The sequence below is a fragment of the Homo sapiens genome, chromosome 21 (assembly GCF_000001405.40).
Source record: "Homo sapiens chromosome 21, GRCh38.p14 Primary Assembly".
NCBI classification, from domain to species: Eukaryota; Metazoa; Chordata; class Mammalia; order Primates; family Hominidae; genus Homo; species Homo sapiens.
The window spans coordinates 32,241,057-32,264,348 of NC_000021.9; the positions used below are offsets into that span (position 1 = coordinate 32,241,057).

The following is a 23,292-nucleotide window of genomic DNA, read 5'->3' on the forward strand; positions in this document are numbered from 1 at the left end:
CACATTTAAATGTTAAGATTATATTTGGCTTTCAGCGTTTCTAGAGAGACCGTAGTGATTTTTATATGTATATTTTTTCAGAGTCAACATAGATGGCACTTACTTTTTCATAACTTTCATATACAATGTCATGACTGAAAACTAAACATGTAACTGACTGTTCACTTTCAGTTTAAGTAAATCATTTGGTGTGGTTATTACGAAAGTAGAACTTCAAATTCTTTTCCATCCAAAGAAAACACAATTAAAATCCGAGCAACATTCCAGTGGAGTACTGCTTTATTTGAAGAAGCAAAATGTCTAGCTGACAATAAAAAAAAAAAAAAAAAACTCAAGAAAGCAACAGAGCCAACTGTCAAGGATGTGACCCCAAATGGTAACTTAAGTGTCATCGTTCTTATGATTCTGTCTCAGTGAAGATGGTGTGGCAGGGTGATGGGCTACATCCTATTTCCCTTTCCTTGGAAGGAACATGGAGTTCCTGAGAATTTAGGAAGACTTGGAGCCAGCTACCTCGGCCTTGTTGCCTGTCTGCTAGACCAGACTGTCTGAAGCAGAGATGTAAGAAATTAAACATCAGAGAAGGAACTAGGGCTTCTCAGGCTGGGTTTCTGACATTCTTTCCTCCCCTGGCAGGTGTAATAAAAGACACACATGTCAACCCTTAACAGCTCAGAGGCAAAGCGGTAACATTTCACTATAAAGAGCACAATTATGGAAAACTGCCTTATCGAGCTATTTTCTTGTCCCACAGAAGACTCAAAGAAATTCTTCTGTGTTGCTCTCTTGACAATTTCATACCAGAAAGGATTTTGGGTTTTTTGTTGTTGTTGTTGTTGTTGAGACGGAGTTCGCTCTGTCGCCCAGGCTGGAGTGCAGTGGCGCCATCTCGGCTCACTGCAAGCTCCGCCTCCCGGGTTCACGCCACTCTCCTGCCTCAGCCTCCCGAGTAGCTGGGACTACAGGCGCCCGCCACCACGCCCGGCTATATTTTTGTGTGTTTTTAGTAGAGACGGGGTTTCACTGTGTTAGCCAGGATGGTCTCGATCTCCTGACCTCGTGATCCACCCGCCTCAGCCTCCCAAAGTGCTGGGATTACAGGCGCGAGCCATCGCGCCCGGCCAGAAAGGATTTTTACAGCAGCAAGAAGCAGCCTGAGAGCGATTGAATTTTCCAATATAAACCTGAATCCACATCAGGAGGAGGGATGATAAGGCTCCATGGCCTGTCACTTTCCAAAGATGCCTGGATATGGCCATTTCGGAAGGTGAAAGCCAGTGCCTGTTTCCTCATCATATTCTTCTACTGAGTAAAATAGATAATCTTAGGTATAAATATACATCATTTTTTTCATGGCATTTAATATAATTATTTCATTTTGGTTGGGGAAAAAGGTCATAGCCCATAAGTATATTTTCTTCATCTGAATTAGACTGTACTTAAAAAAAAAAGAAAAAGTTTTTGAGTGCTGGAGCACAGCAAAAATGTCTCTGCTCCCTGTTTGTAAAATGGTCACTCTGTGATTAAAAGCCTCCTTCTAAATGTGACTTCTTGTCTGTATTCTTGAATGTAGACAGTATTTAGCCAGTGAATCATTAGTCATTTTTTTCCCCACAAATATGATTGAGCACCTGCTATGTGGAAGGTCCTGTGCTGGGCTTATCAAAAAGAATGTCCCTATCCCTGCCCTCCAGAAGCTCCCAGTGTTGTGGGACTCTGATGGATGGACAGGGGTAGTGAAGACTCAGACATGGTGGGGCCATGTCGAACTGGTAATGTTTTAAAACACTTCTTTCAGCAAAAGTGTAGCCAGACTCCTAACAAGTGAGTGAACTATTTATCTACCTCCCCAAGACAGTGTGGTACTGGCAGAACAAAAGAGAGCACCTGGAAACAGACCCACACAGACAGAACCAACTGATTCTTGACAAAGGTGAAAAGCGATTCACTGGAAGAAGGATGGCTTTCCAACAAACGGTGTGGACTTATTGGACATCCAGAGGCAAAATAAATAAACTTCAGCAGAAACCTCACACCTTATTAAAAAAAATTCAAAATAGATCACAAACCTAAATGAAAAACGTTAAACGTTTTAGAAGCAAACACAGGAGAAAATCTTTGTAATCTGGGATTAGGCAAAGAGTTCGTAGATATGACACCAAAAAAGATAAAGTTGCTAAATTGGACTTTATCAAAATCAAAAACTTGCTCAGTGAAAAGTTAAGAGAATAAAAAATCAAGCTACAGACTGGGAGATAATATTTTTTAAATACCTAAAAAAAGAGTTGGATCTAGAATATAAAAAGAACTACCAAAGTGCAGCAGTAAGAAAATCAGACAACCCAGTTTTTAAAAAATGGTCAAAACACTAGAATAGGTGTGTTACCAAATGGTATATATATGTGACAAGCATATGAAAAAGATGTTTATCATAGTCATTAGGCAGATGCAAATGAAAATGATCATGAAGCACCACTGTACACCTAAAACCTGACAGTAACAAGTGCCGGTGAGGATGCAGAGAAACTGGAACATCTAAACATTTCTTATAAAGTTAAACACAGACTTACCATATGACCCAGCAATCCTACTCACAGGGGTTTACCCAAGAGAAATGTGAGCCTGTGTCCACTCAAAAATTTGTATGCAGATACTTATTAGAAGTTTTATTCACGACAAGGCCAGGCGCGGTGGCTCACACCTGTAATCCCAGCACTTTGGGAGGCCAAGGCAGGCAGATTACCTGAGGTCAGAAGTTCGAGACTAGCCTGGCTAACATGATGAAACCCTGTCTCTACTAAAAATACAAGAATTAGCCAGTGAGCCGCAATGAACTGCAGTGAGCCGAGATCGTGCCACAGCACTCCAGCCTGGGCGACACAGCGAGACCCCGACTCAAAAAAATAAAAATAAAAAAGAAGAAGAAGTCATAACACTATAAAACTGGAAACCACCCAGATGTCCATCATCAGTGGGTTAACAAATTGTAATACATCCATACAATGGATAACCAGCAGCAATAAAAAGGTACGACCTAGTGATTCCTGCAATAACATGGATGATCTGAAAAGCATTCTGCTAAGTGAAGGAAAGTCAGACACAAAAGACTACATACAGTATGATTTCCTTCATATAATATTCTAGAAAAGGAAAAACCATAGCGACAGAAGAAAGCACAGTGGATTGCGCGGGGCCAGGGCTGGGGAGGAAATTGACTCCAAAAGGGCACACGGGAATTTTTTTTTTTTAGGTGCTGTAAATATGCTACATTATAATTGTGAGGTGGTTACATGAGGGTGTATATGTGTCAAACTCATCAAATTGTACATTTCATTTTTTACTAATTTGATCCTTTGTAAAATATGCCACAAAAAGCTGACTTTTACTAAATCAGTGGGGGCCAGGCATGGTGGCTCATGCTTGTAATCACAACATTTTGGGAGGCCAAGGTGGGAGGATCACTTGAGTCCGGGAAGTTGAGATCTGCCTGGGCAACATAGTGAAACCTCATCTTTACAAAAAATCAAAAAAGTAGCCAGGTGTGGGGGTGCATGCCTGTAATCCCAGCTACTTGGGAGGCTGAGGTGGGAGGACTGCTTGAGCCTGGGAGGTTGAGGCTGCAGTGAGCTATGATTGAGCCACTGCACTTGAGTCTGGGCAACAGAGATCCTGTCTCAGAAACCAACCAACCAACCAACCAATGGGAAGTAAAAATCCATACATTAAGCCAAGAGTTTTTTGGAAAAGGCACAAAGATGGAAGGATTTTATATAGAAGATATCAAAATATGGTAACTATAAAGCAACCATATTTTAAAAGTATGCTCCTGGTACAGCAATAGACAAATGGATCTCTTGACATAAAATAAAGTCCAAAAACAGAGCAATGTACATATTCAGTAAACACTTTAGGCAGCAATTTAAATTTGCAGGAAAAAATGGACTGTTCACAATTCAATAAATGGAGTTGAAATCTGGATTTCATTTGGAAAAAGAATTGTTAGTTCCATAATGCACATCGTTCTCAACAATAAAACCTTAATTGATTAATTGATCATTGACTTACTTGTGAAGGCTCACGCCATTGATTTCATGATCCTATTTAATGTCTGGAAGACCACCTCCTGGATTATGGTAGGCAGGACCCTACAATAAATTAAAAGAATGCTCCTGAACACCCAAACTGATGGTGTCACTTCTGCCTTCTAGCGGGCATCAGTCATCGCACTGGGAAGATAAATACCTGAAGTGTTCCCTTCCGCCTACACAGATAAAGCAGAGAGAATGGAAACCCTGAAATGTCAACATCCCTGCTCGCTCTTCCAAGATGCCGAAATAGATATGTGATCGTGTGTGAAGCTGAGCCCTTTAATGTTACTTAGATGTCCAACAGAGGGACGAAGAGTCAAAATTCTCTGCATTATAAGAGGAATTCAGGAGAAGCACCTTCCAGGAGGGAAGGCTCTAGCAACACCAGAGGAAGCTGCAGCTGGGAAGGAGGCAGCCAGGGAACAGTTCTTGGTGGCAGGGCCAAAGGACTTCCAAGACAAGGAGGCCAATGGCTAATACTCAAGGTTAAGCCATCAGTGTCAAGCAGTGTGAGCCCACCCTCTGTCCTTCCAAACCTTCAGTAAAGACCTAACACCTGACTATGCTGGGTGAGTTGTTCTGGGGTAAGTGGCAGTTTTGTGGGAAAGCTTTTCTTCCTATTCCTGATCTTTCCTTCTATGAGTCAGGACATCCATTCACCTGACACTCAGCCTCCCTCTGCCCCTGGACACCTGTGTTAGGCCATTCTTGCATTGTTATAAAGAAATACCTGAGACTGGGTAATTTGTAAAGAAAAGAGGTTTAATTGGCTCACGGTTCTGCAGGCTGTACAGGAAACGTGATGCTGGCATCTGCTCGGCTTCTGGAGTGGCCTCAGGAAGCTCAGAATCATGTTAGAAGGCAAAGGGGAAGCAGGCACAGGCCCAGAGCAGGAGCAAGAGATGGAGGGGTAGGTGCTACACCCTTTTAAACAAGCAGATCTCACAAACGGACTCGCTCTGGTGAGGACAGTATCGAGGGGATGGTGCCAAACTATTCATGAGAAATCCGCCCCATCATCAAATCACCTCCCGCCAGGCTCTACCTCCAACACTAGGGATTACATTTCAACAAGAGATTTGGGCAGAGACATGTGTACAAACTCTACCACCACCCCTCATTTGCTGGAAAGAGAAGCTGGGCCAGCAGAGCTCAGCTGCTGCTCCTGCTTGTCTTTCAGAACCAGCCAGGTGTAGACCTGGGACTGCACACGCCCTTCGGTACGCCCCTTCTTCCCTGGCCTCTGAGTCTCTGGTTTCTGTTAGGAAACCCACTACTGTGCCTCCGAGGCACATTCTCCTCTCCTTTTGTCTTGGTTTAGGAGTCTGGCAGGGGGGAGAGGGTATGATTTATGGAGCCCCTCAAATCTCAAGAAGAGGTTCCATGTGTAAAGGAAAAGCCCCAAGATTCATCCAAGCACCCAGGAAACTGAGGACACAGTGTCCTTGTGGGAACTCCCTGAGAAATTTTCATTCCAGAACTCAGAGTTGAGGGCATCTTCCTTCTCTTTATCTTATCCGACTCTTGTCCTAAATCCTTCACTTTGTCACTGGAGTCCTGACAGACCCTTTCCAGCGCCTTCTCTTTCAGTCACTGGCCTTCAGAATCTCAAGAGCAGCAATCCCAGCTCTGCCAAGCCCCCAGCAGTGTCTGCCAGAGCGGGAGCTGGGGCAGACAAGCTGATGATGGAGGGAAATGAACAGAAACGGCTTTTCTCTGAGACTTCTCTCCAAAATATGTGCTGCTTTGGCTCTGAAGGGCGGAACTTTATTTTATTTTATTGTCAGAAGAAAAAGAGACGAGTTGCTTCTGACCAAAAAAAATTCAGTCAGTCATAGATGATGACTGGCTCCAACCCAAACGCAGATTATGGGAAACACTCCATTTTGAGCAAGCATGAAGGCTTTCCCAGCAACTCTCGTCAACACCAATTATTTACCCTTCACTTTGGCGCTCTGTCCTTAACCAAGGCAAGATTTAGAATCACTGAATCATGGGATCATTGGGCCCACTTGCCTCTACCTACCCACCCCATTTCATCCATGAGAAACTGACCCAAACGATGACATCTCTTACCTACTTGGTAAGCAGTGGCATGATCTGGACCAGGATCCCAAACTCTGGAGTCTCAAGTCTACACTCATCCCGTGGCTCAGGATTTGTTTCACAGCTCCAGGCATCATCTCCCTTGGGGAAAAGGAGTTCCTTAGTGGCAGAGAGCTAGTGCTTTGCAGAGAGAAGAAAAGAGTACCAAAATTTGAAGAGAGCCTGCCATGTTCCTGTTGCAAGGCTAGTGACATGGCTAGAGTGGACCCCTTTGGGAATGTCTTCCTAACAAGCCTGTCAGTTGGAGGACATTGTTTTGGGCTGAATTGTGGGCCACAAAAAATTCATATGTTAAAGTCCTAACCCCTGGATCTCCTGAGGTAACCATATTCGGATGTAGGGTTATGAAAGAGGTAATTAAGTTAAAATGAGGCCGTTAGGGTAGGCCTTAATCTGACCACAGTCCTCATAAAAAGAGGAGATTAGGACATAGACCCATACATGGAGGAAAAATGTGTGAAGACACAGGGAGAAAGTGGCCACCCGCAAGCCAAGGAGAGAGGCCTCAGAAGAAACCAACTCTGCCCGCACCTCGATCTTGGACTTCCAAGCTACACGGCTGTGTCTAAACAAAGCCCAGTTGTTTCAGCCCCTCAATCTGTGGTATCTTGTTGGGGCAGCCCGGAAGATTCATATAGGCACCCAGTCCCCATCCTACTCAGGCTTCCAGGCTGGGAGCCTGCCCCTCTGGCCAGAGCCAACTGAACCAAACAGACTCTATGTGAAGAGCTGGAACTGAGAGTGGCACAGAGATCGCTGCATGGAAGAGCTTTGTTAGTGGAGACTTTGGGGTGAAGATACCCCCTCCTTGCTGCTGAGAGCCCCAGAACGGCTCTGGTCTTCTCTGTCCTCCCTGTGGCTCCCAGGCTACACTTCCTGGTAAAATCCAGGAGAGACCCCAACACCCTTCCAAGAAATTCCCTTTCTTGGTTATGTTTGAAGTGGGTTTTGTTACTTGCAACCCAAAAGACTTTAGCCGTGACATTGACATGTGTCACCTCATACAGTGTAATTTCTCCCTGAGATATTACTGCCCCATCTTACAGACCAAGGAACTGAGATTCAAGGATATTAAGCAGCCAGTCCAAGGTCACAAAATGGTAGAACTATAGGGATCTGCACTCAAGCTTCTTCCTCTCTCCACACTGTCCTGGATGCTACACTTCTTCCTTATCCCCCTGAGCGCTCAGCTAGGAGTCAGACATATGGTAGGTGCTCAATAAAAGCTTGTTAAATGGAATAGAGCCCACAGGCATATGTTCCATCTTTAGACTAAAACATAGATAAATACGCTGCCTGTTCACACAGTCGGAGCCACAGGTAAACAAAACCAGTGTCGGGAATTCATTCGTCTCGCTACCCTTCTCTATTCAGACCTAATGAGGCCAGAGAGCTTAACCCAGGCTTTCAGTGGAACCCTTGCTTCACTCAGTAACACCAAGATAGTCTGGTCTCATTGAATTCACAAATTCCCTCTAACTCTTCCCATCTGTTCCATGTTTATTTAACCTGCAGACCAGGGCAGCTACTTCCCCAGCGGAACTTCATAGTCTCCAGAAAGAAAGATCTGAACTTCCTTCCCTCCCCCTTTTGTCTTGTAGCAAAAGGACATAAACCACCCTTTGTTAGGAACAGTAAACTTGCCTTTTTTTCAAGGCTTAGGGCTTTGCAGGAAGCAAGTAGCTGGGGAGAAAAATGAAGAAAGGGCTCCACTGGCAAGGGCTTTCAGGGTATTTTTCTCTTCTTTATAAAAATGAAATTACTTTTCCCCTGTTGCTTTGGAAAGGCCCCAAAATAAACCTAAGAGCACTTGCATAGCTGTCATTAAACTTCCCAGGCTGATCGAGACTCTGAGGCTCCCTGGCAGAGAAAGATGGTTGATCTGGCCCTGCCATCTTGTATTTCAACGTGGATGCTTCAAGCTCGGGAGGGGGCCCTGGCCTCTTAGTGCAGCATCACAGAGCAATGAGAGAGCAATGCGTTATTCTCTGACATTTTACAGACTAGAGGAGTGAGTGTGGGGGTGCTTTTCCCCACCATGAAACCCTCCATGCGGGGCCCTCAGTCGAGACATGCAGCCTGTGCCTCCTTGTCTTCCACCCTCTAACAGGCTGCCCGGGCGGGGAAAGACAGCACAGGTGCAGTGAGCATGCCGCGCAGGCACTCATCCACACTGTTTGTGTTTCTATTATACATAGCCATAATTAACCATGAAGACTTCTGGGAGGAGCCATGGATTCCAGCCTCAGCAGGGGAAAAAACACACCAAAATTATATTCCAGAATTAGAGCCACTGACGTTTACGTGGCAATTTACAAAGTAATTTTTATGGGGCTGTGTTAGTCCATTTTGTGTTGCTATAAAGGAATACTCGAGGCTGAGTAACACATAAAGAAAAGAGACGTGGCACCGGCATCTGCTTCCGGTCAGAACCTCAGGAAGCTTCCACACATAGGGGAAGGGGAGGAAGGGCGAGAGGGAGCTCTTTTAAACAACCAGCTCTCCAGTGAACTAATAGAGCTGAAAACTCAGTATCATGGGGAGGGCACCGAGTCATTCATGAGGGATCCGCCCCCATGGCCTAAACACCTCCCCCAGCCCCCACTTCCAACATCGGGGGTCACATAGCAACATGAGCTTTGCAGGGGACAAACATCCAAAATATATCAGGGTGTTTTCATGGAAGCCTCTCAACCACTCTGTGAGGGAGGAATTCTTGGCACTCCCATTTCACAGAGGAGAAAACCGAGGCTTAGGACACAGCTGCCTCCTGAGAGAAAGGAGCAGCCAGAAACAGAAGTGCTATCTCCTAAGCTGGGACTCGACTTTCCTTCCCGTGGCACTATGCCCAGCCCACGAGCCAGCCAGCAGTGTGGGTGTCACCAGCCCCCAACATCTGAACCTAGTTCAACCCTGATTCTTGCCCCTTTTTTTTTCCAAATTGGAAATCTTGATATTAGATTTTTCCTAATTATAAAAGACGCACTTCTAAAAGAGATTTTAAATAATACAGAAATTCTATACTAACCAACTCTCCCTGTCCCAATTAAAAAATAAAACCCTAAAGATAATCAGTTATCTTTATAGATATGTAGATGTAATCAGCAATTTCCATTTTCCCTTTTGAGCAGCTGGGATCCCAGCAAGGTCACCCTCACACTCATGATCAGATTGCCAGGACTCTGAGCCCCAATCCACGTGACTATGGGACCTCACATCCCTCTCCCATCCCCAGGTTGTTTCTCAGTTCCCAAAGGGCTTGAATACTGGCTGTCCCCTACAGCTTATGGGGCAGCTGCCTCCACTTTCTTCTCCAGCTCTGACTCCCTAGGCTGTCCTGAGGAACTCTCAGACCTTCCAGAAGGAGCCTTGCTTCTCATAGGTGGATTGGACAGATGTGTGTAAAATCTCATTTCTGTGTAGCCATCTAGACGCCCTTGGCCAGGCCACTCTGGCAAAACCCTTGGACAGCACCCATCCCTCCTCTCACCTATTTCCCAGCATGAGAAAGCCCAATAGAATCGTGAGCCCTGGATGTGGCAGAGGGGAAGGAGGGCTTTTAAACAGATTTCTTGAAGGCTGTCTCTTAACAGGTGATATGGTTTGGCTGTGCCCCCACCCAAACCTCACTTGAATTGTAGTTCCCATAATCCCTACATGTGGCGGAAGGGATCCAGTGGGAGGCAATTGAATCATGGGGATGGTTACCTCCATGCTATTCTCATAATAGAGTGAGTTCTCATGAGATCTGATGGTTTTATAATGGGCTTCCCCTTTTGCTTGGCTCTCATTCTTCTCCTTCCTGCCACCATGTGAAGAAGGACCTGTTTGCTTCCCCTTCTGCCATGATTCTAAGTTTCCTGAGGCCTCCCCAGCCCTGAAGAACTACGAGTCAATTAAACCTTTTTCCTCTATAATTTACCCAGTCTTGGGCAGTTCTTTATAGCAGCATGTGAACAGACTAATACAACAGGTAACACAAAAATCTCAGTGATTCTTTCTCTCACCTGCATGAAAGCAGCCTTGAGAAAACAGTATTTTGGGAGGATTTTTGTGGCTCTTAAATGTACCAATTCAATACCCAGTCTCTCTCTCTCTCTTTCCTTTTCTCTCTCTCCTTCCCTCTCCCACCTCCCAGCTCTCTATCTCTGATTATCTCTTCCTTTCTCCCACACTCTCCCTCTTCAGGTTGGCTAACCCCAAATCCTTAAATCGCTAACCACTCCTTCTCTTAAGAAACTATCATGTATCCCTCCCCCACCACCCAAGCACCCCATGCCAGCGTCTAGGAAGCTCAGATAGGGGTGTGACCTTTAACCCTGTCAGCCCCCAAAGAGAACTTGTGCATATCTCTTCTTGAACTTGTCATTTAAGAGAATGAACCCAAATAAAATATGTCCCTCCCTCTATGATTTGTCAACAATGAAAAGATGAATCACCAAACAAAAATACAAACTTCATATTTGAAGGCAACCAAAAAGTTAGATATTTACTCCAAACTAATGTCTTTTGCCAGGCTCTAATTACCGAAGGTGGGAGACTGTCTAAGAGCACAGGGTAATGTCTCTCAGAAACATTTATGCACTTGTGTTTATGGTCCATAATATAATTCTGTCTCTCATATTGATCAGATGCTACAGTCCTCTCTTTGGACTGTAGTAGCAACTAAAAGTCCATCTTACAAGCAGCACTCCTCTTCTTCCAGATTTTCATCAGTATAGTTTTAGAAAATTTCCAGCCTAGGCAACATAGCAAGACCCTGTCTCTACAAAAAGAAAATGAAAAATTATCTGGGCATAGTGGCATGTGCCTGTAGTCCCAGCTACTCAGAAGGGTGAGGCCAAAGGATCACTTGAGCCCACAAGTTTGACACTGCAGTGAACTAAGATTACACCACTGCACTCCAGTCTGGGCAACAAAGTGAGATCCTGTCTCAAAAAAAGGAAGAGGAGGAGAAGAAGAAGAAGAAGAAGAAGAAGAAGAAGAAGAAGGAGGAGGAGGAGGAGGAGGAGGAGGAGGAGGAGGAGGAGGAAGAGAGAAGAGGAGGAGGAAAAGAAAGAGTAAGGAAAGAAGGAAGGAAGGAAAGAATGAATGAAGGCAGGCAGGCAGGCAGGGAGGGAGGGGAGAGGAAGAGAGAAGAAAGAAGGAGAAGAAAAGAAGAAGAAGAAGGAAGAGGAGGAGGAGGAAGGGGAGAGGAGGAGGAAAAAGAAGAAGACATGTATGTATTAGTACATTTACTTGATCAGCATTGGATAACTGCAAGGGAGATATCTACAGCAAAGCAAAAATATATTTTTTAATGTAGTATTTATTCATCTCTGCTTCTGAAGAATGAGTGTACTCTCATCCCCTAGGCTCCAGCATACCCGCTGTCAGAAGTATCCCTTCCTTTCTCCCTCACTTAACTAAGTTGACCCCCTACCACACTGAGTTCAAGTTTGGGGGCCTGACCAGGAAAGAAATATATGTCAGCTTTACAATGTGCCTTTCAGAAAACTCAAGTGTTGTCTTTATAAATTTAGATGTATCTGTTTTTTTCTAACCCAAGATTTCTTCCTTCATGGGTGAGAATACAAACGATTTTGTTTAGGGATCCCAGAGAATGACTGTGAAATTTCTGCATCGTTGGCAGACAGGTGGTGCAGAGATCTCCCACTTCGGGGTCTGATGCTACTCACTCGTCCATTTGGTGAGTGCACAGTGAGCATCTACTCTATGCCCAGATCCCTCCTAGGCTTAGAGAACTAAGGAAGGAGCTGCCCTTGGGACCTCTCCAGCTAGGAAAGGATGGAGGGATGGGATGTGCTTTAGGGGAGCTGTGCTCGGGACTTCTCCACCTGGGCGAGGACGGAAGGGTGGGATGCGCTTTAGGGGGCCACTCCATAGAACACCATGCAGATGGTGCCCCCCCGCACGACCCCCAGCATCAGAGTTGTGCACTGATGGCCTGCAGATGAGCAGGGGAGGGAAGGAAGGCTCTATGCCGCTTTGCGTGTGGTCAGAGGCATTTCTCCCAATGCTTCTGCATCCTATTGGTGAGTGACAGGTACACAGCGGGCATGCGCAGTTTCCAGCTGAGGATTGTCCCTTTGGAGCTCATTTGGCCTGCAAGCTTTCCATTCATGTTACCTAATCGCCCTCCCCCCACCCCCCATTAGGCCTGCTCCCAAGGGTGGCTGAAATTCCCAGAATTCATTATTAACATATTTTTGTTCTGACTCCACTTTCAACAGCCATTTTTATCTCTGACAGCAAGCTGGCCTCTGTCTCTGGGGCTGGACAGCATCATGCCCAGATCACTCCATTTTCAGAGCAGGCTTTAGCAGACTCCTGGCTGATGGGAGCCCCAGGGAGGGGAGCGGGAGAGTGAGCGACCTGCCCCCACTGCAATCACACAGCAAGGGTTACTTCCCCCTCCACCAAGTGGGACCCTTTGCAAAGCCTTTGCTCCCTCTGCCTTTGGGTTGTCATAATTCAGAAGGCAGGCTGCTATCTGATTAGCCCAAAACGCTCCTAGAAGCTTCTCCCCAAAAGCACCCATTCAAGCACCACAGCTTCCAAATTACTCAACATTCAATTGGTTCATAAAAATTTGTATTCCTGGAGAAAGTCAAAAAATTGGAAATAGTTTTAGTTGATTTAATAGAGTTTTTTTTAAACAGCATTTTGAAAAAAAAATCATAAATCCCTATAGAAGTAAATTGCTGGCTGGGCGGTGGCTCACGCCTGTAATTCCAGCACTTTGGGAGACCAAGGTGGGTGGATCACAAGGTCAGGAGTTCGAGACCAGCCTGTCCAATATGGTGAAACCCTGTCTCTACTAAAAATACAATAGCCGAGTGTGGTGGTGTGTGCCTGTAGTCCCAGTTACTTGGGAGGCTGAGGCAGGAGACTCACTTGAACCTGGGAGGCGGAGGTTGCAGTGAGCCAAGATCATGCCACTGCACTCCAGCCTGGGCGACAGAGTGAGACTCCAACCCCCGACCCCAGAAAAAGTAAATTGCTTTGGCCAGGCGTGGTGGCTCACGCCTGTAATCCCAGCACTTTGGGAGGCAGAGGCAGGTGGATCACCTGAGGTCAGGAGTTCAAGACTAGCCTGGCCAACCCTGTCTCTAAAAATACAAAAAGAAATTAGCCAGGTGTGGTGGCAGGCACCTGTAATCCCAGTTACTTGGGAAGCTGAGGCAGGAGAATCACTTGAACCCGGGAGGTGGAGGTTGCAGTGAGCCAAGATTGCGTCATTGCACTCCAGCCTGGACAAGAAGAGTGAAACTCGGTCTCAAAAAAAAAAAAAGTAAACTGCTTTATAACTTTAAATGGTTTTTCACACCTTTACCATATCTAATCCTTTCAGTAAACCAGTTCAAGATTTCATTAATTATGTCTAACTTTTGTCATGTTGTTATAAATAAGAAAACTAACCAGAGGGAGGTTAAGTAACATGCTTAGGGTTCTATGCTGGGCCGGACCTAGAATCCGTCTCCTCTTTTATTCTCATTGTATGTTCATTCCACATCTTAATCCGGGCCCAGATTTAACAGCCTCAGTTCTCCCACCAAATTCACACAATCCAGATTCATTCATTATATGGCACAAAGATTTCACTAGATGTTCAAAACTACATTGTTTGTAGTACAAAAAAGTCTAGAAACAGCCTAGTACATAACGCCGAGAGTTTGGTTAAGTGAACTATTCAATATTGTGAAATATTATGCAGTCATTGAAACAAAGTTGCAAAAGTATATTTGGTGATATATCAAACTATTCATAATATAGTAATATAGAATATGCACAGCAAGCTGTCCTTTTTATAATTATATGTATAAATAAAATGCATAGGAAATCATGTGGAAGGATATACCCTAAGATATTAATAGTGGTTACTTATGGAGATACTTGGATTGTAGATACTTTTACTGTCTTCATTTCAGTTTTCTGTAGAATCTTCTAATTTTTCTACGGTAAAAATACATTTCTTGGGTACTTTTTTTTTTTCTTGAGACGGAGTCTTGCTCTATTGCTCAGGGTAGAGTGCGGTGATGTAATCTTGGCTCACTGCAACCTCCGCCTTCCGGGTTCAAGTGATTCTCCTGCCTCAGCGTCCTGAGTAGCTCGGATTACAGGTGTGTGCCACAATGCCCGGCTAATTTTTGTATTTTTTTAGTAGAGATGCGGTTTCCCCATGTTGCCCAGGCTGGTCTTGAACTGCTGACCTCAAGTGATTTGCCCACCTCGGCCTCCCAAAGTCCTGGGATTACGGGCGTGAGCCACCGCGCTTGGCATTCTTGGGTACTTTTTGAAGTTTCAAAGTTATTTCAGCAGGAAGACCCATCTAGTTAAAGAATAAATGTGTGCTTGGCCAGGCGCGGTGGCTCACGCCTGTAATCCCAGCACTTTGGGAGGCCGAGGAGGGTGGATCACGAGGTCAGTAGATCGAGACCATCCTGGCTAACACGGTGAAACCCCATCTCTACTAAAAATACAGAAAAAATTAGCCAGGCGTGGCGGTGTGCGCCTGTAGTGCTAGCTACTCGGGAGGTTGAGGCAGGAGAATGGAGTAAACCTGGGACGCAGAGCTTGCAGAGAGCCAAGAACGTGCCACCGCACTCCAGCCTGGGTGACAGAGCGAGACTCTGTCCCAAAAAAAAAAAAAAGAACAAACGTGTTTACGCCTGGGGTAAGTACATTTAATAGTGTAAAAGTTCAGCCATTTCCATCTATTTTATCTCATCCCTAACTGGCTATGGATGGTAAACTCAGTTGACTTCTTTGAGGATAACCATAAATGTGTTTCACAAGCTTACTGATGTCTACTTTTAGCGAATTTCTTCAGGAAACAGAAGATTCATTATTAAACATTTTTTTGATGTCTACTATGTTGGGATTGTTCTCCCCAGAAACCTCGTGTATTGCTGCTCAAACCTAAAGAGAATTACTCTACTCTTTACTGGACAAAATCACAAAACCATTGACTGGGCCACCCCAAATTGTGCTCCCTCAGAGAGTACCACTGCCTCGAAGTCTTTTTAATCTATTTCTGCTTGATCTATCATCAAATTTCCCTGAGCTGCTGTTCAAACCTGTCCACATTTCTTTCATTTCTCTATTCCATTCCCACCCGACTCAGTTTCATCGGATGACTTGGCATCCTCCTCTCTCACTTGAGCCTCGTGGCTGTCACACTCCGGTAGCTAAGGCCACCTTTGTTCAATGGCTCTCTACCGGGAGGCATAAAAAGTACGGTGACACGTGTGCTGGTTTTCCCGGGACAATTGACATCTGTCATCCCGACTTAATTATTAGACATTCCCTGTTTCGCGAATGTGCCCTGATTTGGACAATAATTTTTATAGTCCTACTAATGATGAGAAAAACATTGAAGATGGAAGCTGTTCTCAGTGGGGACTGTCCCTTGCCCCTTTTTCGGCCTCTGTGTCTTGGCTCATGCTAATCTTTCTTGTACTCAGTGACAAAAATGATCTCTTGTTCCTGTGAGAATTCTGACTTTATTACTTCTTAATCTGCATGATCATCTAGTGCTTCTCAGACTGATGATCTGTGTATATTTTCTTTTAACCACCCATCTCAAACAGTTCAATTCAAATCCTCATTTCAGAGCTACAGAAAAATGCATGTGAATAAGACTCATTCTTACAGAGGAAAAAAAAACAGGCTAGAACGAAAGTCTGCTCATTCACAGATTGTTTTCCCCCACCCTGGCTCCCTTAACAGCCACATCAGGACTGGATTCTCCCAGGTTTTCCTTCAGAGTGGAGAGAAACACAGCAGTTGTTGCCTTGGAAACTCTGTCCAGGGGCTGGCATCACGGGACTTGGCTCGCCTGCTCTATGGCTGACATCCAAAGCTGACTCACTTAAGTTTCGACTGGTTATGGCTTCGCTAAGGGGGACATAGCGATTGAGGAGAGAGGACAGGGGAACTTGAGCAAGTGAAATGACTATAGCAAGACATCTGTCTTCTTCACAGAGAGTAACTCAAATGATGGCAAAAGGAATAACCAGTGCACTTTAATAATGAAGATTCTTGGTGAAATGTTGGCAGCCAGAGATGCTGTTAAATAAAATGTTCACGTGCCCATGTTTTAATCCAGTTCAGAATTCCATGAGCTGATTCAAGAATTTCTTCAAGACATGCACCTGGTGCCACCTACAACTGTTCATTACACAGCAGCAGCAAATGTGGGCGGCTCTTCTATTCTAAGCTTCTTTTGTGGTCTTGGTTCTCTAATGGGCAGAATATTGTCTATGTCCATCAGATTACAAATGCCTTAGATGAGCCTCTATCAGCTATCAATCGAGGTTTCCATTTCAAATCAATACCTAATTAAAATAACAAAACATTTCTGATTGCTTTTTTAGATTACTTTTAAAAGGAAACCTACGGAGCATCCTAATCCAACCCCTTCTTTCTACAGATGAGGAAACCTAGCCTGGGAGATGGACGCCAGGGATGTGAAATTGCTCCAGTTGTTGGAGGCTCCGTAGGACACACACCCCAAGGCTCCAGGACTCCCAGTGTGCTGGAACCTCACAGAACTACCACTTTGCCTCTGCATAATCACTTAATGCACGAGTATTTTTTTAATCTGTTTCAGCAAATGGAAGTCTGGCATAAAATGTAGTTGCCTGAGTTCACTTTAAAGCTTTGGACAATGTTGTCGTCTAAATAATGTGCTTTGGATGTCTTGACCCATAACAAGATAGCACTGTTCCTTAATCTTTCCAAAGGAATCTATAGCATTAATACAGATAGAGGGTTCCTGCCAAGTCTCGTGTGAGTCAGACACATTAGCAAGGTGATCAGAAATGTCCTTATTCCGGAAGACTGCCACCTCTCAGCCGGCAACTCCAAACTGAGCTGGCAAACACAGCATTAAGGACTCAGAAAGCATTGGGGGAGGGGATTTAGTAACAAATCTGAGTCATGAAAACAGAAAACGACTGAAAGAGAAAACATAATTAACTTCCAGTGTAGAATGCTAGTGCCTTGGGGAAAATCCTGTGCAAGTGTAGATGTAAGCAATTTTAGGGACGAATACCGAAAAAGCTGTTAGCAGTCTGATGGGGGCTGCATCGGGGACGGGGGGCCTTGACTATTATTTTATTTTAATTAAGAATGTTGGTTACAGGAGTGAAGGGATAAAGTCAGGTTGCAATGAGGCAACCTTCCTGTTGGACAGGGCCTCCTGCAGCTACTGAGTTTCCCACTGTGGTTGTGAACAGGCTGGACACGATGAATGTTTACATGGTGAAATGCGGCCCCTTGTGGCCTGATTGGGGAAACAAAACAAAAAGTCCGACTCACAGCCTGAGAGTGATACTAACCTACTTTACAGCATGTCAAACAGTGACACTGAAAAAATGACTACGGTACTCAGCAAAATTAGTAATCACACCAAAACGCACCAACATATAAAAGAACCATTTTATTCAAGAAAGCCGGGAAGAACTGTCCCCTAAGTCAGCTCGTGTCACACTTGAACGTGCCTGGGGACCACCTAGCATCTTGTTGCAGCAGCACAGGTTTGGTTCAGCGGGCCTGGATGAGGCGTGAGGGTCTGCATTTTATTTATTTATTTATTTATTTATTTATTTATTTATTTATTTACTTACTTACTTACTTACTTAGAGATAGGCCTGTTGCCCAGGACGGAGTGCAGTGGTAAGATAACAGCTCACTGCAGCCTCGACCTCCCAGGCTCAAGCAGTCCTCTCACTTCAGCCTCCAGGGTGGCTGGGACTGCAAGTGCACGCTACCACTGCTAACTTTTTAATTTTTTCGTAGAGTCTTGCTGGTCTTGCTATGTCGCCCAGGCCAGTCTCGAACTCCTAGACTCAAGCGATCCTCCTGCCTCGGCCTCCCAAAGTGCCAGGATTTCAGGTGGGAGCCACCGTGCCCAGCCAGGGTCTGCATTTCTGATAAGCCTCAGGCAATGCCCACCCTGAGAGTGGCCAGGGGCTCGAGGGAAGGGTTGGCCAGGTCTCCTCTGTCAGGGCCTCCTCGCTCCAAGACCGCAGGCCTCTGGAGGGCATTCTCTGCCTCGCCTTGGCCTCCCAGGGGTTACAATTCTTTCCCACACCCAAGCACTGAGAAGGCTGGGGAGCCACTTTTCTTTCGCATCTTCAAGCTCAAGGGCCTCCTTACCTCAGCTCAAGGTCATCATTTCCCCCTAAGAAAGAGTATCCTGTGAGGAGACAGCCCACTCCCTGACACCTTCCTAGCCTACTCTGGACCTTCCTACTTCAGGAAGCAACCATTCCAGGACGGCATCTGACTGTGTCTTATGGATTCCGCATTCATGAAAGCCACAGGTTTCTTTCTTGATCACTGAAAGCAGCAGGTGGTTTTCAATGCCATTGCCTCCAAGTCTCCTCTTGGGATGTGCCTGTCTGAAGGTGGCGTTAATGTGTATCTGCCGGGCTTCTCCCTTGCACCCAGACAGCGCGCACTGAGGCCCACTCCGGCATCTTGTTTCCAGTGTCAGAGTGGCATTCACACCCCACCCCACCCCCAATCCCAAGAATTCATTGTATTTGGTTATGAAGAAAATCTTTAATACAAAGTATTTTTAACCCAGTGTGGGAGGAGAAAGACAGAATAAATAGAACAGTAGAATGATCACAGATGGGTAATTACACATGTAAATGAGCTCAATTTGGTAAATTTCCTTTGAGTTCCTATTTACCTGATTAACATTTTATGCTAGCCCCACAGCACCACTGCAGTTTGGGTTACTTTCTTTTTACTCTTATATGTCAATTCTGAAATATGAAAAGCAATTTTGAATACTTTGGTGGAACCATTTTTCTCAGCTTTTTTTTTTTCAGATTTTTCCATTTACCATCATAACTGGTCTACAAAGTATGAATTGCCTCCAGTGTACAAGGTCCCACAACATGTTGGATCTCTGGAAAACACAACCCTAGTATTCCAGGAACAGTTCCCACAAAACTAGAATACAAAATCTAAGTAATAAGGTCAGACCATGCTGAAGTCATTTAAGAATAATGAAGTGGGAGAAATGACATCTGACTGAGAAATCAGCAAGGGCTTCCTGGAGGAAGTGGCACTCAAGCAAGATCTTGAAGGACAAGTAAGAACTGTATATATACAAAAGGGTCAGGTGTGAGACAGAGAGTACACAGGGCATATCCAGGGGATGTCGGCAGATCATTAGAAACTCAGGACCAGGGACCCGGGGAGACAATTGAGGGCTGTGGGAATTAGAGACACAGGAATGATCACTGAAATCCTGGCAGGGCGGAAGTAGCCAAGAGAGACTGCAGAGAGAGAAAGGAGGGCAAAGGCAGAGCCCGGGAGAAGCAGGAGGAAGGTGAACTCCGGCAAAGCAGCAGCAAGGAGGCAGGAGGCCACTGGGCAAGTCGGACGCCATCAATGCCCAAGGATGAAAGCAAACTTGTTTGTTTTTGGTTTCATAAAAATTTTCAAACAATACACAGGCCAGGTGCAGTGGCTCATGCCTATAATCCCAGCACTTTGGGAGGCCAAGGCAGGAGGATCACCTGAGGTCATAAGTTCGAGACCAGCCTGGCCAACATGGGAAACCCCATCCCTACTAAAAACACAAAAATTAGCCGGGCGTGGTGGCATATGCTTGTACTCCCAGCTACTTGGAAGGCTGAGGCAGGAGAATCACTTGAACCCAGAGGCGAAGGTTGCAGTGAGCCGAGATGGCACCACTGCACTCCAGCCTGGGCGACAGAGTGAGACGACCTAAAATAAACCATACACACTCAAAAGTGCAGATATAATGAACCCCCACCCGTGCCCATTCATAAATAATCAGCAGAGATTAAGATGAGGGCCATACTATCCCTTTTGCTGTGTGGTTACTTTACCGACATTTTACCACAAACCCCAGGCCCCATGGCATCCAGCCCCTGCATACATCATTATGCCTCGCTCAGAAATGCGGGCAATCAAGAAGAAAATGTTAAAGGGGAGAACAATTTTAAATTGTTGGAAATTTTAGGGATTTCAGACAGACAGTAACACTTTGTAGGAACTCACTGGCGGCCTTCAAGAGAGTAGTTTCAGCAAGATGCCTGGAGGACCAAAAGCCCAGAGTTGAAGTGTTGAGTGGGCAAAGTCAGTGCGGTTAAAAATAAGAGAGCAGTTCAGCGAGGTGCCTGGGCCACGGGAGGGCTCTTTGTCACCAAGATGAGACGTAAGTATGCTTGCGGGTCAAGATAAAGAATCAATAGAGTGGTTAGAGAATGAAGATGTGAGTAAACAGATGCTCGATGCAGCAACATTCATTTGTTCCATTGAAGATGGAATGAGCACGTATTACGGGGCTGCATTCTTTTTGGCCCAGGCCATGAGATGGATAAAATCCCTGCCCTCGTGGAGCTAACACTCCAATGGCAGGACAGACATTAAACCAACAAACAAATGTAAAATATAATGCCCAACAATGATAACCGCAATAAAGTAAAATAAATGACTCAAAGGAGGTGGCACACGACACAGCCAAGAAGACACACGGAGAGGTGAGAGCTTGAAAGAGAGGCCAGACAGTACCTCTGGGCAGAAGAGGGGCTGGGGGATCTGGTAGCCAGAGAATCTCAAGGGAGGGACAACTGCAGGGAAAGGAACTCATGCTGAGTTCACTGTGTTCTACAGAAGAAAAAGAGAGAAGCTCAGGATTTCTAAACCCTTCTAGACGCTAAGATTGCTAATACTATATTAACTGACGCAATGTCCCTTTATGTGTTTTACTGCTAAAAAACAAGCTCAGAGTGAGGGAAGAAGGCAGCCATGCACAGAAGGAAGGCACTAGGTCTGCTTATTAGCCAAGTGGGACTTCAGGCAATTTAAAGTCTCTGAGCCTCAGTTTCTGCATGTGTAAAATGGGTATGATGCTTCCTACGGAAGAGGGTTCTGTGAGAATGAGGTAGTAACATACATGGAGCCCCAAGCACAGTGCTCCGCACCTCCTAAATGATCGTTAAGTGCTATCTTAGAAAAGAAAAGCCATCCCTAGGGAAGCAGTTGTGACAGTCAAAAAGCAGCTGTCCTGTTTTGAGAAAAACCCTTGGAAGGCTTCCTAAGGTTTCTCCTCAAAATGGCTACATGCTCTTCTTTTTGGTTTGGAAAATGTTATGCAATCAAACACACGTTTTACTTTCTCAAAATTTCTACTGTTCTCAAGAAGCCCCCAAAATGACAAGCCCCGCAGCTCCTGGTAAGGGTGGACAACGGTTAATGGAGAGAAACGTGAAAGTGACGACATCCTGGAGAGACCTCAATTATCCCATTTCCTCAGATCCACACAGTTGGTTCATGGTCTCACTTCCCCCCTTTCAACATTTCTCATTTCCTTTCAGGGTTACGTGAATTAGAAGGTTGAAGAGCCCTTGAAGGGTCACCTTGTCCATCTCTGCCTTAAAATTAGATAAGAGAAGAACTAAAAACCATGGTGGTAATTGTTCAGGGAAAAAAAGAGTTATAGAGTTCATTTAATTTTGTTAAGCTAATTAGTAGAGGTCCACAGAGCCAACTTGAATGAAATGAGGCCAGTTCTATTTGAAATCACATTTAGGCCAATAAAACTCTAGGCCCCAGCACATCCATTCCTCATCCCAAACTCCCCTCCCTTCTCTACCTTCGAGCTTATCACTGGGATTTAAACAGGTGTGACTATCCCAAAGAAACTACAACTCTATAGACTGGCCATGACTGCACTCGTGCCCTCGTGATTAGCTGCCTAAATAGTGAATTAGCCTACAGATAGAACTCAGCTCTCACTAAAAAAATTAATGATCAATACCCAAAATATGTCAGATTAGATCAAAAAATAAGTTATTCTCCCTTAGTTCAAAAGTCATTGCTAACAAATTGTCTCTGGGTGTTCACTGGCAAGCAACTGCCCAGTTATTTATCCTATCTGGGGAGAGCAAAATAGATGTACATAACATCAACTACTTATATAAAATTTTAAGTCATTTGTTTCAGGTATTTTGGGTTTTCTCCAGGAGAGGTGGAGAATGTGGCTGTAATCCCTAAAGTCTTAGAATGAGACTGGACACAGTGGCTCACGCCTGTAATCCCAGCACTTTGGCAGGCTGAGGCGGGCGGGTCACTTGAGGCCAGGAGTTTGAGACCAGCCTGGCCAACATGGTGAAACCCTGTCTCTACTATTATAAAAATACAAGAATTAGCCAGGCGTGGTGGCACGCGCCTGTAGTCCCAGCTACTTGGGAGGCTGAGGCCCAAGAACCGCTTGAACCCAGGAGGCAGAGGTTGCAGTGAGCCCAGATCGTGCCACTGCACTCCAGCCTAGGTAACAGAGTGAGACTTTGTCCCAAAATAAATAAAATCGTATTTCCAGACATGGCTAACTTTAAAAAAAAATGAGTTTCATTTTAGACGTACTAAACGAAAAGATGTTAGGACTTGTTCTTTTGGGTGTTGAAAAGAGAAGTCACTTTCTCTTTTCAACTTTAAGTCAAACAGTATAAAAGGAATACACAGCAATATGCTGCAAACCCAGCTGGGGTCGGGGAAGCCTTCTTTTTTTTTTTTTTTTTTAAGCACTTTCTGATTTCTCAGGTGTAAATATCCCCATTATGGCCAATTTCAAGCTACCAACAGTTTAATGACCAGCTGACAAAATTCCTGAAAATTTCATAATTGGCTCTCCCCTGCACACCACTGGAGCTAGACAAAGAGGTGAGTGGTCTAAGATTTCTTTCATGCCCTGTCTTTTATTTGGTTAGTAAACTCAGTTGTTAAATAAACCACTAAAAAGTGTGAATTTCATACTGTATAATCACATTTAAACAAGCTTTTAAATATGGTTCTCATCCTAGGTGATCATTAAAACTCAGGTTATAAAATAATATTCGATTATATAGAAATATTTTTAGGAAATATTTTAAGTGAAAATAGTGTGACCAGTATGACCCCAAATTTGCATATAAAAATGACTAGAAGGATATACCTCAAAATGTGAGTAATTATTAATTGTAAGATTATGTGCTTTATTTTCTTCTTTGTGCTTTTTTCTATTTTTCAGATTTTGTGCAATGTTTACAACTGGGAAAAAAATAAA

General features: G+C 44.7%; 1 protein-coding gene across 3 annotated transcripts in view; it reads right to left on the minus strand.

The window, feature by feature from the left end:
* MIS18A (MIS18 kinetochore protein A) overlaps positions 1 to 23,292 on the minus strand; it is a 124,368-nt gene that overhangs the window by 86,375 nt on the left and 14,701 nt on the right. The window contains exons 4-5 of one of the 3 annotated variants that reach the window (XM_017028400.2): positions 6,165 to 6,275; positions 3,160 to 4,145 (exon numbers count right to left, since the gene is read on the minus strand). In XM_017028400.2, coding sequence (XP_016883889.1) covers positions 4,076 to 4,145; positions 6,165 to 6,275 — 181 coding nt within the window. In that variant the 3' untranslated portion in view covers positions 3,160 to 4,075. Of the gene's footprint in view, positions 1 to 3,159; positions 6,276 to 23,292 lie in introns of those variants that run through there. The other 2 variants (XM_017028401.2, XR_002958619.2) reach the window with 2 other exon arrangements.